This window comes from Homo sapiens, chromosome 13 (assembly GCF_000001405.40).
Source record: "Homo sapiens chromosome 13, GRCh38.p14 Primary Assembly".
Classification (NCBI taxonomy): Eukaryota; Metazoa; Chordata; class Mammalia; order Primates; family Hominidae; genus Homo; species Homo sapiens.
The window spans coordinates 80,335,668-80,351,310 of NC_000013.11; the positions used below are offsets into that span (position 1 = coordinate 80,335,668).

At 45.2% G+C, this 15,643-nt stretch overlaps 1 protein-coding gene across 4 annotated transcripts, besides 6 other annotated features; it reads right to left on the reverse strand.

Annotated features, from left to right (window-relative positions):
* SPRY2 (sprouty RTK signaling antagonist 2) lies at nucleotides 309–5,459 on the reverse strand. Of its 4 annotated transcripts, none has more exons than NM_005842.4 (2): nucleotides 4,955–5,459; nucleotides 309–2,089 (listed from the first exon to the last, which is right to left on the reverse strand). In NM_005842.4, exon 2 carries the CDS (start codon nucleotides 2,036–2,038, stop codon nucleotides 1,091–1,093), a length of 948 nt encoding a protein of 315 aa, NP_005833.1. In that variant the 5' UTR covers nucleotides 2,039–2,089; nucleotides 4,955–5,459; the 3' UTR covers nucleotides 309–1,090. The 4 variants fall into 4 exon arrangements, with proteins under 4 accessions (NP_005833.1, NP_001305465.1, NP_001305467.1 ...); NM_001318536.1 differs by lacking the exon at nucleotides 4,955–5,459 and adding an exon at nucleotides 4,191–4,441; NM_001318538.1 differs by lacking the exon at nucleotides 4,955–5,459 and adding an exon at nucleotides 3,172–3,992.
* Nucleotides 3,263–3,312: an enhancer, noted in NCBI's record as "active region_7860". NCBI's record gives its function as "activates an Ori minimal core promoter by ATAC-STARR-seq in GM12878 lymphoblastoid cells {active_cell/tissue: GM12878}" and the evidence as "EXISTENCE:reporter gene assay evidence [ECO:0000049][PMID:35858748]".
* Nucleotides 5,407–5,596: a silencer, noted in NCBI's record as "silent region_5428". NCBI's record gives its function as "represses an Ori minimal core promoter by ATAC-STARR-seq in GM12878 lymphoblastoid cells {active_cell/tissue: GM12878}" and the evidence as "EXISTENCE:reporter gene assay evidence [ECO:0000049][PMID:35858748]".
* Nucleotides 5,827–5,876: a silencer, noted in NCBI's record as "silent region_5429". NCBI's record gives its function as "represses an Ori minimal core promoter by ATAC-STARR-seq in GM12878 lymphoblastoid cells {active_cell/tissue: GM12878}" and the evidence as "EXISTENCE:reporter gene assay evidence [ECO:0000049][PMID:35858748]".
* Nucleotides 7,276–7,465: a silencer, noted in NCBI's record as "silent region_5430". NCBI's record gives its function as "represses an Ori minimal core promoter by ATAC-STARR-seq in GM12878 lymphoblastoid cells {active_cell/tissue: GM12878}" and the evidence as "EXISTENCE:reporter gene assay evidence [ECO:0000049][PMID:35858748]".
* Nucleotides 7,276–8,081: a biological region, named in NCBI's record as "H3K27ac-H3K4me1 hESC enhancer GRCh37_chr13:80917085-80917883".
* Nucleotides 7,283–8,081: an enhancer, noted in NCBI's record as "H3K27ac-H3K4me1 hESC enhancer chr13:80917085-80917883 (GRCh37/hg19 assembly coordinates)". NCBI's record gives its function as "activates a minimal SCP1, AML or CMV promoter by ChIP-STARR-seq in naive H9 embryonic stem cells {active_cell/tissue: H9 hESC(naive)}" and the evidence as "EXISTENCE:reporter gene assay evidence [ECO:0000049][PMID:30033119]".

Genomic DNA, 15,643 nt, shown 5'->3' on the forward strand with positions numbered 1-15,643 from the left:
CAAAAAAAAACCTCTGCAGAACAAACACAAGTCAGATAATCTGCAAAAAAAAAAAAGGGGGTGGGGGAACAAGAACAATGATATAGCTAAAATCAGCTCCCATATAAGTACAGATAGTAAGTTAAATGTTCTCTTGATTGCTAGAATTGTCTCTGAAAAATCATCAAATCCAGCTTACTTTAAAGCGGCAATCATAAAATAATTCTATAGACAAGTGATTAACTATTTCATTAAAATGTTACCCTTAACATAAAATGTAGTTTCTTACACTTGAAAGAAACAAGATAAAAGAAGACAAAACAGCTCAGTTTAATTTCAAACGTTAATATATTTTCTATTTTATATTGGACATATGCATCTGTAACCCCTCATTTGCAGCAACTATCACATCCTCATAAAAGGGGCAAAATTTGTAAGATGCCTCTTAAAATAAATATTCTTTTTTATAAAATAATAAAACTTCAAATAAATATTCTTTACACTAAACAATATGTTGAAAAAATTAGAAAATAAAGGTTGAATTTTACTGTAACTGTACAATATACATGAAGTCCAAAGGGAAATCAGAGTCTTACAATAAAGGCTTTCTGTAAGGCAAAATACAATCTAAAAACATACTGATTGATTCACATTCTTCCGAATGTACAACATATTAGTATAATATTTTGTGTCTGTGCCATGTAGTATGGCACAACTTGTTTTTCACAGTTGCAAATATTATTGTATATACAAAAATATAGCACATTCTCTCTGGAGAAAACAATGGAAAAAAGTCATCTGCTAATTTACAAGTTTTGCAAGTACTATTCACAAACAAAAACTTTGCCTAGGAGTGTCTGTGTTGCTTTAGCTTATGCAATACATGGGTCACCAAGTTCTGTATCTCATACTTTGAGCTCCATTAGCTGAGTTCTAACAAGCATATCAGTTAAAACGGCACATGGACAAAAAGCATTTCACCGCAAACAGCAAAGACTATCCCACCTTTCTATTAACAGTGCCAAGATTATAACTGTTTAGTTGGTTGCATATGTGTATTAAAAAAAGAAAGAAAAAATCCTCATTACTGTAATATTCCTGATTAATGATGCTATGTTGGTTTTTCAAAGTTCCTAGGGGGGACAGTGGGAACTTTGCAGCAAACTGTGTTTGAGTTTTTACAGCGGCAACCAGGCCTGTTAACCCGGTCATAACACCCCTGGCACAATTTAAGGCAACCCTTGGCTGGAAGGTAACACCATAAACAAGGCAAAAAGAGGGACATGACACCCATGGCTGACCATCGTGTACAACAGTGAGACTGGCTGCAAGAACATGGGTTGTCAGCACAGTTGTCCTCATCATCATTAGAACAGTGATAGAAGAGACCTTTCACACAGCATACACAAGTCCCATAGTCAATCACGTTCTGGGCCGAGCAAAGGCACTGCTTGTCGCAGATCCAGTCTGATGGCAGAGGCCTTGGGTAGGTGCACTCCTTACATTTGCACTTGCCACAGTCCTCACACCTGTAGGCGTGCAGGCCCAAATCTTCCTTGCTCAGTGGCTTAAGCTCACCTGGCTTGAGCTCAGATTTGGGTTGCACCCGGATTATGCCATCAGCAACAGGCCCGGAGGAGAAGGATGATCCTAGCAGTCTCTGTTCAGAGGAGCTGCTGCTGGTACTTGTCCTCGTACTGCTCCGCGACCCTGAGCTGACCGTGCTTATGGATCTGGACAGAGGGGCTCGTGCAGAAGAATGGACCTGCGAGTGCTGGAGCCTAGGAGGCTGGCGGTGCTCAGGCAGACCGTGGAGTCTCTCGTGTTTGTGCTGAGTGGAGGGGCGAGGAGCAGGCTTGAGCCCAGGTCTTGGGACGACAGTAGGCCCCTCTGTGTACTCATTGGTGTTTCGGATGGCTCTGATCTGATCCAGAGACAAGACATGTACCTGCTGGGTGAGGGCGTCTCTGGGGTCGGGCTCCCCACGCTGTCTGCCACCGTCACGGGGCGTCTGCAGCAAGGGCTGCGACCCGTTGCCACTCTGAGCTCTGGCCTCCATCAGGTCTTGGAAGTGTGGTCACTCCAGCAGGCTTAGAACACATCTGAACTCCTGAGGAAGCCAAGAGGAAAGAACGGTTGATACTCTAAGATACTTCCCACTCTCCACCCACCTGAATTGACTCCTCACTTCCCACTTTCCCTAGAGAAACAGGATTTGAAATGGAATGGCAGTAGGGAGGTATTAGCCATATGATCAACAACGCATGTACCCAAAAGTAAAAATTACGGCGGGCTACTGACAATTCTGTAATCCTGTGATGTACAACAATACAAAACTGATCTTTGAGTCACTTAAGTAAGAATTCCTTATTCAAAGAAACATACAATTTGTAAGGTTCAGGTTCAACGTAAAAATCGCAAGGAAGTATTGCTGGAATATAACACTGCTACCAATGTTTTCAAAAGTTGAAAATCCTTTCAAAATTTGAAATAGGTTTCCATTTGTCATAGTCATTTTTGCCTTAAGCGTTAATAATGCAACCTAGAAGATTCTTTCTTGGTTCTTAATTTTTACTTTTACATCAAACACTTTAACTGTGACGTATACGGCATTCTGTAACTTTTTCAAACCAGGTAGAATGAATATGGCATGCAAAAAAGTAAATACCCAAATTCTACAACAATCATGCCATTTTTTATTAATTGTATAGTAGCACAAAGTTATAGAACTAAAAGCAAATCAAATCCTATTAGGTGCCAGAAACACATTAAAGCAAACTTAACAAGAAGAAGACATGAATTTATTTTCAACTTCTCAACAACTTAAGAATTAACTATTTTACAGTCTGATAGCCTAGAACACCACCTTAGATTCTGCAGCTAAAAGGTTGTTCTCCCTGCTAATTGAGAACACAAACGAAGTGATAATAACCAGAAAAGCGTTTTAAAAATTCAAATGTCACATTTCGTATCTAGCATTCTGTCAAGGAATTCCTTAAACTGCAGTCCTTCTTCAATTTCAAAACGATCACCCCCTTTCCCAAGCCTATATGACAATAAAAAGTATAAAACAGGCAAAAGTGGACCTTTATCCGATCTCCGCTCTTTAGAATAGAGGCCACAGCGAACAAGGCAGGTGACAAACGTCTCCCAATTCGGAGCAAGGCAGTGCTGGAAACCGGATCTCCTCACCTCCAAAAGAATGGCAGAAGACAACGCTGCTCTTTGCTTTCACTTAGTTTATCGCCTCTCTGTGCCCCAACACCGTCCCCAGCAGGTGGGACACAGCCGATCCCCAGGGGAGTTTCTCCAGGCGGACTGACGCTGTCCATGGGCCAGGCTGCCCCCCTGCTTACGATCCCCAGACTCAGACAGGCGGGGGCCGCGGGCGCCTCCGAAGGGTACGTGTCACGAAATGCAGGAGCACACTTCCCCCGCCTCCCTCTCCCCAGCTAAGATCTCCCCCAACTCAAGAGAACTGCCTTCCAGCCCCAAGGAGCCACTCCGCCCCCAGGCAGAGGTCACGCCGCCCACTGCCAGGCTTTCTGCAAAGCCCCTCGGACATCCGGCACAGGTTTCCCACCCCGACACTGCGAGCACGAAAGCCCTGCCTGAGACACGCAGCCAGGACGCACAAGTCCAACCCACGCACACACGGCGACTCCACGCTGCACTGACCGAAGGGGGCATTGCCTGTAATCTGCACACGCCTATCTCCTTTTGGGTCGAGAGAAAAAAAAAAGATATCATATTTCTTAAAGTGAAAGAAAAATGGCTTTTTAAAAAAAGGGCATTTTCCAGGGTCCCACTGCTCACTCCGGGCGCGCAGGACCCAGCTCCCGGAGCTGTAAACTTTCGGTGCAGATTTGCTTGCAGTCAAAGTAGCATCTTTGAAATAAAAGGGGGCTTTTTTGTTTTTATTTTTTAAGTGATTTCTGCCGATCCGATCCCTGGCCTCCTTCTTCAAAGCTGGACTCCCTACCTCCGCCCCTCTTCTCTTTCCCAGTCCCCCCTCCCCTTTGAAAGTGCTTTGAAACCCCCATTAAGAACAGTGTGTGATCAGACTGAGGATTAGGGGAAAAGAACTTCAGCTCTAGGGTGGGGCAAACGGACACAGAAACTGCTTTGTAAAAAACACACAAGAATCCAAATTAAAACACAGCAACAACAACAACAAAAGGAAATAAAAAATTGCCTATTTTGCCACCTACTTTCAGGTAATGGAAAATGATCGCGACCGCTTGATGACTTTCTTCCTGCGCTGGGTCAGCCCGAGCTTCCAAAAATAAAATAAGTGTGACCCAGGCTGACCACGAAGAACGGAAGAGAGAGAGCTGCACTTCCGAACCGCAGAGACCCGGCGCCAGGCAGGGCGACGCTCCCACCCGCTCCGGGCTAGACTGTCCACACGGAGCAGAGGCGGGCACTCCCTCCACCCGGCACCCTGCCTTTTTCTCACCCTGGAAGTCTCCTGCCCCCGAGGCGGGCAACCTGTGTCCCCCAGCCCCACCAGCGCCCCGCCTAGGGACAGCCTCTCCCTGGACTTTGCCTTCCACCAAGAGGAAGAACAGGTTAGAAATGCGGGCGCCTGCAAAGGCAACCTGGAAAATACAAAGTGTTTTTCTCTCCCTCTCCCGCTCTCAGCGCCGAATTCGCGGCCAGTGCACGGCTGGGAGCAGACTTCAGGCTAGCTGTCCTCCGTCCCAACCCCCTAGAGCGCGGGCGCGCGGGGTCGCCTGTCGGGGACACTGCACGGGGTGCATACAGAAGTCCCCGCAGAGGCAGGCCGAGCCCAAGCCCCGGGCGAGGCAGGTCCGCGGGGAGCGCCCCGGATCCTCGCGAAGACCCTGCGGGATTTGAGAAAGGGAGGCTCGGGGAGAGACGGACCCAACTCCTGGTCCGGCTGCACCTACTCCATGTTGCCCACAACGCGCCGGCCGCGGCGCCAGGAGGGGAAGAGCCAAACGTGCCTCACCGTGATCGCGGCTTTGCACCAACCCCTCTCCCTTGGATTCTCTTCTTTCTGCGATGTGCAAATAAATCCAGTCTCGATGCAAACTTTTTTCCTTTCTTTCCAACCTCTGCTTTAGACCAACTTCCGAGCAATCGGCGGGAGAAAAAAAGAGAATTCGGAGCCAGATTCCCCGCTGATGAACACTCCGGGGTTCGGAGCTGGAGACGACTCCCCTTCTACAAGCGCACGCGGAGTATTTCCTCTTTTTTCTCAATGAACAAGAGGCCGAAGCGCCAACGGCAAGTCCCTTTTCCTGGCAGATGAGCGAATGGGAAAAGAAAACGGCCTTACGGAGAACCTAAAGCCAGATCGCCAAGTGGTGCGGCCGGGGCCGCGTCGTAGCGGAGGCGGCGCGGGGGCGCGGGCCGGGCCGGGCCGGGCGGGCGCGGGGGCCTGGGCGCTGCGCGCTCCGCCGGCCCCTCTCCTCCGCTAGCGCTGCGGCGCGCAGCTCTCGGCGGTGCAGACTGGGCGTTGTGGAGGCGAGGCAGCGAGGCCGAGGCGGGGGCGGTGGGTGCGGAGGAGGAGGAAGAGGAGGAGGAGGAGGAGGAGGAGGGTCTGGGGCCCGCCCGGGGGGGGCTCGCCGTTGGCCTGCGCCCTCGCCTTTCCGGAGGAGGCAGGGAGCTCTGCGGCGGCCGCGGCAGCAGTAAATGGCGTCATGTGGATCCGAGGCGGAACAGAGCAGTTGTTGTCCCAGAGGATATATCGCATCCGGTCCCAGCTCATTGGCTCCGCGGGGCTACATTCACTCACACTCCAGCGCCCGCCAGCGCTCCGAGCCGCAGGAGGCATTCAAAAGGGCAACCGCGCCGCCCCGCGCGTCCCCAGGCCGGTCCTGCCGCCCGAGCGCCGTCACGCGGGGCGCCCGCGGGGCCGGGCTGGGCACTGCAGGGTCAGTTTATCTAGTTTCAAGGAAACACTGACCTTAAGGTTTGCCCAGAGGCAATGAGGACGAGCCAGAGGCTCGAGCTGACTTAGGGAACTTTCTCCTTGCCACCAGGAAAGGGGAATGAACATTTAAGACTAATCTGGGCCACGCAGTGTTAGCATGAAAAACAAGTTGCAGGTTTTAAGACTTTATCCAGAATCCATTTCAAGTCTACCTCTCCCCTTTTCTGTTCCCCTTTGCGGAGCGGGTGACGGGGGCTGGGGCGGGGGGAGAAGAAGGGGGAGGGGAAGGGGAGCGGGAAGTGAGGTGGGAGGGCTATTGGTTTATTCTTTGTCTACTGGATTAACCCGATTATACACCAGGCACCAGCACAAACCGCCTCCCCCACCTCCGAGCCTTGTACGGGAGGAACGGAATGCAGATTCGAGTTTCAAGTACCTTCTGCTCTTGCTGGGATTTGCTTTTGATTGTGTCGACTTGTAGTTTTTCCGTTTATTAGAATTTCATTTTTAAGGGGGGTTATCTATGAATGGAGGCTTTTTGAAGAGCTTCCTTACTATTTTGCTTCATGCAGTAGCTAAAGTCTACAGTCTAAGCCTTTTAACTTAATTCATTAATAGACAGGAACAAGATTACTCAGGGCGACAGCATGGGCTTCCGAAATGGGGGGGCGGGGGGGAGGGAAGGGTTGGCTCACTGCAGATTTCCTTCTTCCCTTAACTAAAAGTCATCCTTCATTTCCCACTTTTCTTGCCACCTAGAACATTTCTCAAGATTCTGTTGTCCATGTTGAAGGTGCACTATTCTTTCCCATTTACAAAAAAAAAATAAAGATAGAAAATGCATACATATGCACTGTCCTAGCTGCCGTTCATTTACTAAGAAATGTGCCTTCACGTGGGAGCACCAGTGGAAAATTAAAACTTGCGCATACACACGCCTAATATTGCATTCTGTCGAGCGACTTACAGAATGCTTTTACTTTACAGGGAAGTACCTGCTTGTACGGTCAAAATTCCCGAATAGCACCTGCGATCTTGCCCCATGCGGGGTGTTCTTGAAAGCAGTGTTAGGAAAACATGGTGCTTCACTCGTCCAGCTTTAACCCAATCCATTTGCAGCTACCCTGGAACTAGCTGCCTTCTTCTGAGCTCCTGCTCTAGAATGTCCCCAGCGCGCTCTCTGCCTCGCTGCGGTCTCACCCTGACTTCTCCATGTTTCTCTAGGGCTCTCCTCTTTCTCTAGGGATTTGGAACCAGAGATGGCAAGGGAAGTGGCATGCGTTATTTCCGGGCGCTGGCCTACGTCCCCCGACCCCTAAGGTGAGGGTGGACGAGGCTACAACGGCCTGCTCCCGAGCGTCCCGGGACTGCGGGCGCAAAACAGCTGGGCCTCTCTGGCCACAGCCGCTCGCCGGACGCCCGAATCCATTGAGCCGACGGTGAACGCAGGCGCCGCTGCGCTCGCGGCCCCTCTGGCCACCAGGGGGCGCCCGCCCGGCGCGGGGCTAAGGCTGCTTTCTTCTCCGGGACACGACGCGGACAGGCTGGGTTACCTTCCAAAACGTGTGTGCATTAGGCCGGCTGGTTTAAAATGAATACAAAGATATTAATATAAACGACACAGAAGATAGCTTGCCCTCCTGTCTGCTTGGGAGGGTCAAAGCCTGGGTGTGCAAGGCTAGGCAGGAACGTGCTGCCGGTGTGCGGCCAGCAAGTCTCTCGAGCAGAGCAGGTGAAAGCAACGCCGTCGCTTCGCCTCTTCAAACTCCTGCACTCGATGGCGGCTTTTTAGGAGACATCTGTGCCTTGCTGGTCTCCCAGCGCTGCAGGAACTTTGCGAAGATACATCGTTAGGGATCAAAGCATGCAATGGAATTTAGATCAGAAACTTCCAGCTGTTTAGAGAACCTTATATTTTTATGGAGTTAATAGGGGAAAATCTAGAAATTTATATCTTATCTTCCATGAGCTATAAAGAATCTCATGTCATCTAGCTCTTCCTCCCACCCCCTTTCCTCACAATCTCCAGTTTGCTGACTGGGAAAACATTTAACCTGTAACTTAAGTTCAAGATAAACACAAGAACCCTTTGGATTCTTTCTGATTTACTCCTTAGTCTTTATATTAATTACTGCAACTGTTACTCTTTTTCAGAGACTGAAGAGTATCAAGCTACTATATTGTGCCTCCAAAGTTTAGAGAATTATAATCCAAAAGAGGAACTATGTTTTTGTGTATGTATGATGCATGCACAATGAAATGTCTAGTGCAGCTATTGTAATGTGTCCCCAAACTGATTCTCATGTTACATTCCAAAATTATAACTGAGACTAATTTTGGAAGATACTTTCAGAAGTATGATAGAATGTAAGGCAAAACTTAACACTACACACACACACACACACACACACAAACCTGTTTTCAACTGTGTTGTGGAACGTTCTAGAGAGACAACTCTGACACATGAACAGGTGTTGCCATTTGCCTAATGCTGGAAAATACAGAATCTATGGAAATCCATGCTGCACCAATAACTCACTGCTAAGTTTCTTTCTTTCTTTCTTTTTTGAGACGGAGTTTCCCTCTTATTACCCAGGGTGGAGTGCAATGGTGCGATCTTGGCTCACTGCAGCCTCCGCCTCCCGGGTTCAAGCGATTCTCCTACCTCAGTCTCCCAAGTAGCGGGGATTACAAGTATCCGCCACCAAGCCCGGCTGATTTTTTGTAATTTTTTTAGTAGAGATGGGGTTTCACCATGTTGGCTAGGCTGGTCTCGAACTCCTGACCTCAAGCGGTCCACCCACCTTGGCCTCCCAAAGTGCTGAGATTACAGGCATGAGCCACCACGCTTGGCCCCAAGTTTCTAATACTCACCAAGTAACATACCTTCCTAGTACTTGTCGTTAAATAGGACTCTGGTCACACACTTGGGATCTGTCATCTCTGGCTTCATTTTATATTCTGTATTCATTTATTTATAATTACTTCATTTTACAACTATAATCTCAACTTTTTTCAATGAGACAGTACATAAAATATGTGCATTTTGTTTTTTCCAATCTTTGGTTGAAGGCATCAATAGACATGCTTCTTTGCTAGTAGGTGTGTTGAGTGAGTTGAAGTGAGATATTTGTAAGATTGCACTTGCTGGCTGGTGTAAGCTTTGAATTTATGTTGTAGTAACGGGAGAGTGCATCTTTTAGCAACCGTAGCTCGTTTTTCCGGGATTGCACAAACCACTTGGCCTTAATAGGTTTAGTCCTAGTACTGATATCTTGCAATGATATCACACATTCTTGAGAAAAAGAAGAATGAATAGCTATTTGGTTAGTTTGTTAGTTCTATTACCAAGGCAATCTATTTGAAGATGGCACAGAATGTAACAGTGTGTGCTGCTTCCACGACTAACAATTTGGGGCTTTCAACCATTATCTCTCCTAACAGCCCAGTTGCAATAGTAAAATTAGTCTATGCATGGCCTCTTCAGGGACCTTCCTGAGACAAAGGGTTTTGTAATGATGGACCTTTTGTTTTGACAACTGTGACTCTAGTCATTTCACTTTTGAATTTCCCAAATTCTGTTGATAATGCCTCTAGAAGGGAATTGGGAGTGGCTGTAACAAAAGATGCAAAGGAATTCAAAATAGACCACTTGAGTTCTTATCTAGATTGCTTGAAGGACTGGAAACAGTTATCTCTGGATCTAACCTTCTTTGGAGATATATTCTTTATCCCTAACTAAACTGGGGGAAAGCTCTGGGGTTCTCTCAGGGTAAGAGGGGTGGTGTTGCAGAGTCGACCTTGAGCTCCAGGCTCCTGCGGGTCTGGTTTTTTCCGGAGGCCTTGTATTCAACTGGGATCCACCTGGTGATTTTTACTGGTTAATTAATGAATACTCCTGTGAGATGCATGCACATTATGACTACAGTTTATGCAAGGTCTGATGTGAACTGAAGTTCTATAACAAGGCAGAAACAGAATTTCTCTGCTGGCCAACACGATTTTTCTCATTATTTTTTTCAATTTATCTATCCTTTGGTTTGAAGATTAAACTTCTTTGTAGGACTGATATGTGCAGAGAAAACCTAATCAGTGAGGACATTGCATTCTTTCACTGCATTTCCCTGAATAGCCCTGGGTTTATTTGTTTTTGTTTGTTTTTAACATTTGATCCCCTATGTTCTGGATCATATAAGCAAAAATCATTAATTGAAATTAGTATTTGGATATTACTGGCCAAGATTAGTAGCAGTTGGAAGATTTTAGCCCCGGAATAGTTGGAGGGTTTTGCTTTTATACTTCCTATTATGTGGACACTTGGTCAAAAGGGCATAGGAAGTTCAACCTGTTCTCTAAGAAAGATGTAGTTAAACAGATTCCACTTAAGCCATTCTTACTGTGCAGATGCCACACAATATCAGGGCTGCCGGCCAGCTCGGAATTAACCTCCGCTAACAGATCAAGTCCAAAATTGTTCAGTTTGGTAAACGGACTATGATTGCATGCAGATTTAGTTTGTTTGTTCCTTTGGACAGGAAGTGTTTTGAAGTTACAGAGAATCATTTGAGAATATTGTGGGGTAGGTAGAAACAGCTTTGTTTGTGCATATTGTGTTGGATGGAACTTTAAAGGATAGACTGCTCCAAGGATCTGGAGACTATATATCAAGGCTGCCTTGGACTTCTTTGGAACCTGGAATTGAAACAGGAAGATTCTTCACCTTCTCATTCATTTTCTTTTCTTTTCTTTTTTTTGCTCTCTCTCTCTCTTTTTTTTTTTTTTTTTTTTTTCTTTGACAGGTCTCACTCTGTTACCCAGGCGGAAGTGCAGTGGTGTGGTCATGGCTCACTGCAGCCTTGACCTCCCTGGCTCAAGAGATCCTCCCACCGCAGCCTCACAAGTAGCTGGGACTACAGTAACATGCCACCACGCCAGGCTAATTTTTTAAATTGTTAGTAGAAATGAGGTCTTATTATGTTGCCCAGGCTGGTCCTGAATTCCTAGGCTCAAATGATCATTCTGTGTCAGCCTCCCAAAGTAGCTTACAGTGGCTTACAGGAGTGAGCCGCTGTGCCCAGCCCAGCATTTCATTCTTAAAAAAAGAAAGCACTCACTCCGATCTCTGTAGACACTAGACACTCACTAAACGCTTTTCAATGAATGAATGAAATTAAGAAGTATAATTAGGCCGGGTGTGGTGGCTGACACCTGTAATCCCAGCACTTTGGGAGGCCAAGGTGGGCGGATCCTCTAAGGTCGGGAGTTCGAGACCAGCCTGACCAACATGGTGAAACCCCGTCTGTACTAAAAATACAAAAATTAGCTGGGCGTGGTGGCGCATGCCTGTAATCCCAGCTACTCAGGAGGCTGAGGCAGGAGAATCGCTAGAACCCAGCAGGCGGAGGTTGCGGTAAGCCAAGATCGTGCCATTGCACTCCAGCCTGGGAAACAAGAGTGAAATTCCATCTAAAAAAAAAAAAAGAAAAAAAAAGTATGATTAAAATAAGATAATATTTTAAAGTCTTAATTTTGTAAAAGGAAATTCACAGTTTTTGAATTCTTTAATGGCAGAAGTTAAGTCATTCTGCTGTTCTAGAAATTACCATTGTGTTTTGCATAATTACTAGGAAGTGACTGAAACAAGTTTGTTAAGGCTATGATTATTTGGTTTTGTTTTGTTTTTTGAGACAGAGTCTTGCTTTGTCGCCCAGGCTAGATTACAGTGGCACAATCATAGCTCACTGCAACCTCTGCTTCCTGGGTTCAAGTGATTCTCTTGCCTCAGCCTCCTGAGTAGCTGGGACTACAGGCTACCTATTAGCCTGTCACCATGTCCGGCTAATTTTTGTATTTTTTCTAGAGGTGGGTTTCACTATGTTGGCCAGGCTGGTCTTGAACTCTTGACCTCAAGTGATCCACCCACCTTGGCCTCCCAAAGTGCTGGGATTACAGGCATGAGCCACTGCGCCTGGCCAGGGCTATGACTTTTAATAGGTGAAATATTAAATACTTATTAAATTACAAATAAATCTTTATGGAAATGTGAGGTAACTGGAAATAAAGCTGTAGGGAACATCTAGTTTTAAACTATATAACAAAGAAATGACAAAGAGGATGATGATGGGTGGGTAAAGAATGTAGGTAAAAGTAAACTTTTTACTTTGAAAGATATGACTATATTAATAATTAAAATTAAGTGTTAAACTGTAATTTCAAATAAGAAGTTAGCAGTCTGTTAACTTTCAAGAACACATTTTAAAAATAGCTCAAGGAAGCCGTCAATTAGTGGACAGTTTGCCGTTCATGTTGTATGTGAGAAATCCCCTTGCACTTTTGGTAAGTATTCTTCTCACCCTCATTTTACACCACAGAGACCTTCTTGCATTATATCCTAACATGTGTTAAAATAAATATATGAGCAAAATTAAAAATTAGATCTTCAGTCTGGGCACAGTGCTTCATGCCCGTAATCCCAGCACTTTGGGAGGCTGAGGAGGATGGATCACCTGAGGTCAGGAGTTCAAGACCAGCCTGGCCAACATGGTGAAACCCCGTCTCTACTAAAAATGCAAAAATTAGCCAGGCGTGGTGGTACACATCTGCAGTCCCAGGCACTTGGGAGGCTGAGGCAGAATTGCTTGAATGCAGGAGGCAGAGGTTGCATTGAGCCGAGATCGTGCCACTGTACTCCAGCCTAGGCGACAGAGAGACACTCTGTCTCAAAAAAAAAAAAAAAAGAAAGAAAAAGAAAAAGAAAAAGAAATTAGATTTTCAAAATCATTATTTTCTTTTTTTAAACTGTAGTTGCTAATAGAAAAAGATGCTCAAGATTGAACTTTTGATATCATAATAGGTTCCAGAGACTTTGGTAGTTCAAGAGAGCTGGATTTGGATGCAATCTAGACCACTTTGGGTGAATCTGATCACAATTGCCTGTTGCTTAGATTCTCCCCTGGCTTCACATTACTTTCTGGGTAAAGATCCAAGTCTTTCAAACAACTTCAAGGTCCTACTCTGGTCTGGCTGTTTTCCCTCACCAGACTCCTGTTACACCAGTTCTCTTCTCTTCTCTTTTCTTTCTGTTTTTACACACTCTCTTGCTTTCTACCCTGCAGTTATGAAGGCTACTTTTTAGTTGCTCAGAAGCACCTCTCTCCTGCAACAGGGCCTTATTACATGCTATTCCCTGATGCACTTTTCTTATTAACCTTATTTGCTTTATTAACTCTTATTTATCTTTCTCTTTTCATTCTCTTTCTTTCTTTTTTTTTAGACGCGTCTTGCTATGTCACCCAGGCCGGAATGCAGTAGTCCTATCCTGGCTCACTGCAGCCTTGAACTTCTGGGCTCAAGCAGTCCTCCTAATTCAGACTCCTGAATAGCTGAGACCACAGGCATGCACCACCGCCATGCCTGGCTAATTAACTTTTTTTTTTTTGTAGAGACAGTTCTCACAATGTTGCCCACGATGGCCTACTTATCTTTCAAATCTCTGTTGTCATATTCTCAGGAAAGCTTTTTCTGACTTCTCTGACTAGGTGAAATCCCACCTTTTTTTCTCATGACCTTCTCCGGTGCAACTATACATGTAATTGTGATTGTTTCATTAATAACTGTCTCTTTCACTGTATTTTAAGGTCCATGAGGGCTGGAATCCAAGTCTGGTTTTGCCCACCATTGTATTTCCAGAACCGAAGGGCCTAATACATACAGGGAGCTCAAACATTAGTTTTCAATAGGATGAATGAGCCAGGCGCGGTGGCTCACGCCTGTAATCCCAGCACTTTGGGAGGCCGAGGCGGGCGAATCACGAGGTCAGGAGATTGAGACCATCCTGGCTAACATGGTGAAACCCCGTCTCTACTAAAAATACAAAAAATTATCTGGGCGTGGTGGCAGGCGCCTGTAGTCCCAGCTACTCTGGAGGCTGAGGCAGGAGAATAGCATGCACCTGGGAGGCGGAACTTGCAGTGAGCTGAGATCGCGCCACTGCACTCCAGCCTGGGGACAGAGCGAGACTCCGTCTCAAAAAAAAAAAAAAAAAAAAAAAAAAAGGATGAATGAATAAATGACTGAAATAATTAACCTTAGTCCCCACCTGTAAAAGAGGGGCATGGGGTCACTTGGAAGATTGGATGACATAAAGTATCTACCCAGCCTAGCATGTGGGAAGTTCTCAATAAGTAGCTGCAATAACTTCAGTTAAATGGGGCTTGATAGTTTATTTAGTAAAATTAGCTGTTTTGCTTCCATCCTTTCAAAAAGCTTTAAACTTAGTAGAATTTGATTTATTTTATGTTTGCATAAACACAGGAATAATAATTTAGAGATTTAGAATAAGTTTTAACTGTATTTAGCTATATTTACCTAGTAATAGACAGTGTTTCTTACATTAAATCTTAACCATACATTGACTTTTCTTTCATGTATGACTTCTTCAAAGTACATAAAACATTTTAGGGAAGAAGGGACCTGTTTAGCCGATATGGTTGTTTCTAACTAGAATATCTACTCATTGAATTATTTGTTCAGGAAATCTGGAGGCTTGAGAATGTAAATTCCCTCTTATTTGAGGGAACATTTAGGATATTATCCAACATTTAGGCTCTTATCCAACACTGGATTGAAGTATATATTTTTGGAATGTAGCCCTGTATCTGAAATGGTTTAGAAGCTCCATCCCCCATTAGGAGGAACAGGTACATTCACCTATAATAAATTATGTAATGGCATAGGTATTTGTTGTACAGTAGAATGCAGTGGTATTTCACTGTTTTGAATTCTTTAGGCTACTATGATCCTGTAAATGTGAATTTGTATAGGAGTTAGAATAAAAATCACTGGCCGGGTGTGGTGGCTCACACTTGTAATCCCAGCACTAATTTTAAATGGTTTATTAGGAAGCTAAAATTCTCTACATATATACTGAGGGTGTGAGTGAAAAAGACTCTTAGGTTTGTAGCAAGTACAATAACCTTACAATGGAATTCAGTTCTAGGCAGAAGATGAAATACTTGAGTTCCAAGAAAGAGTCCTATAAGTCTGAGACATCATCACGGCATTTCAACACCAGGCAGGGCCAGGGATTGTGGCAGTAGACAAACGATTCTGTTTTTTTTTTTTAATTATTCTTTTTTATTATACCTTAAGTTCTGGGAGACATGTGCAGAACGTGCAGGTTTTTACATAGGTGTACATGTGCCATGGTGGTTAGCTGCACCCATCAACCCATCATCTAGGTTTTAAGCCCTGCATGCATTACATATTTGTCCTGATGCTCTCCCTCCCCTTGTCCCCCATCCCCCGACAGGCCCCGGTGTGGTGTTCCCCTCCCTGTGTCCATGTGTTCTCATTGTTCAACTCCAACTTATGATTGAGAATATGTGGTGTTTGGTTTTCTGTTCCTGTGTTAGTTTGCTGAGAATGATGATTTCCAGATTGATCCATGTGCCTGCAAAGGACATGAACTCATTCTTTTTTATGGCTGCATAGTATTCCGTGGTGTATATGTGCCACATTTTCTTTATCCAGTCTATCATTGCTGGGCATTTGGGTTGGTTCCAAGTCTTTGCTGTTGTAAATAGTGCTACAATAAACATACCTGTGCATGTGTCTTTATAGTAGAATGATTTATAATCCTTTGGGTATATACCCAGTAATGGGATTCCTGGGTCAAATGGTATTTCTGGTTCCAGATCCTTGAGGAATCACCACACTGTCTTCCACAATGGTTGAACTAATTTACACTCCCACCAAGAGTGT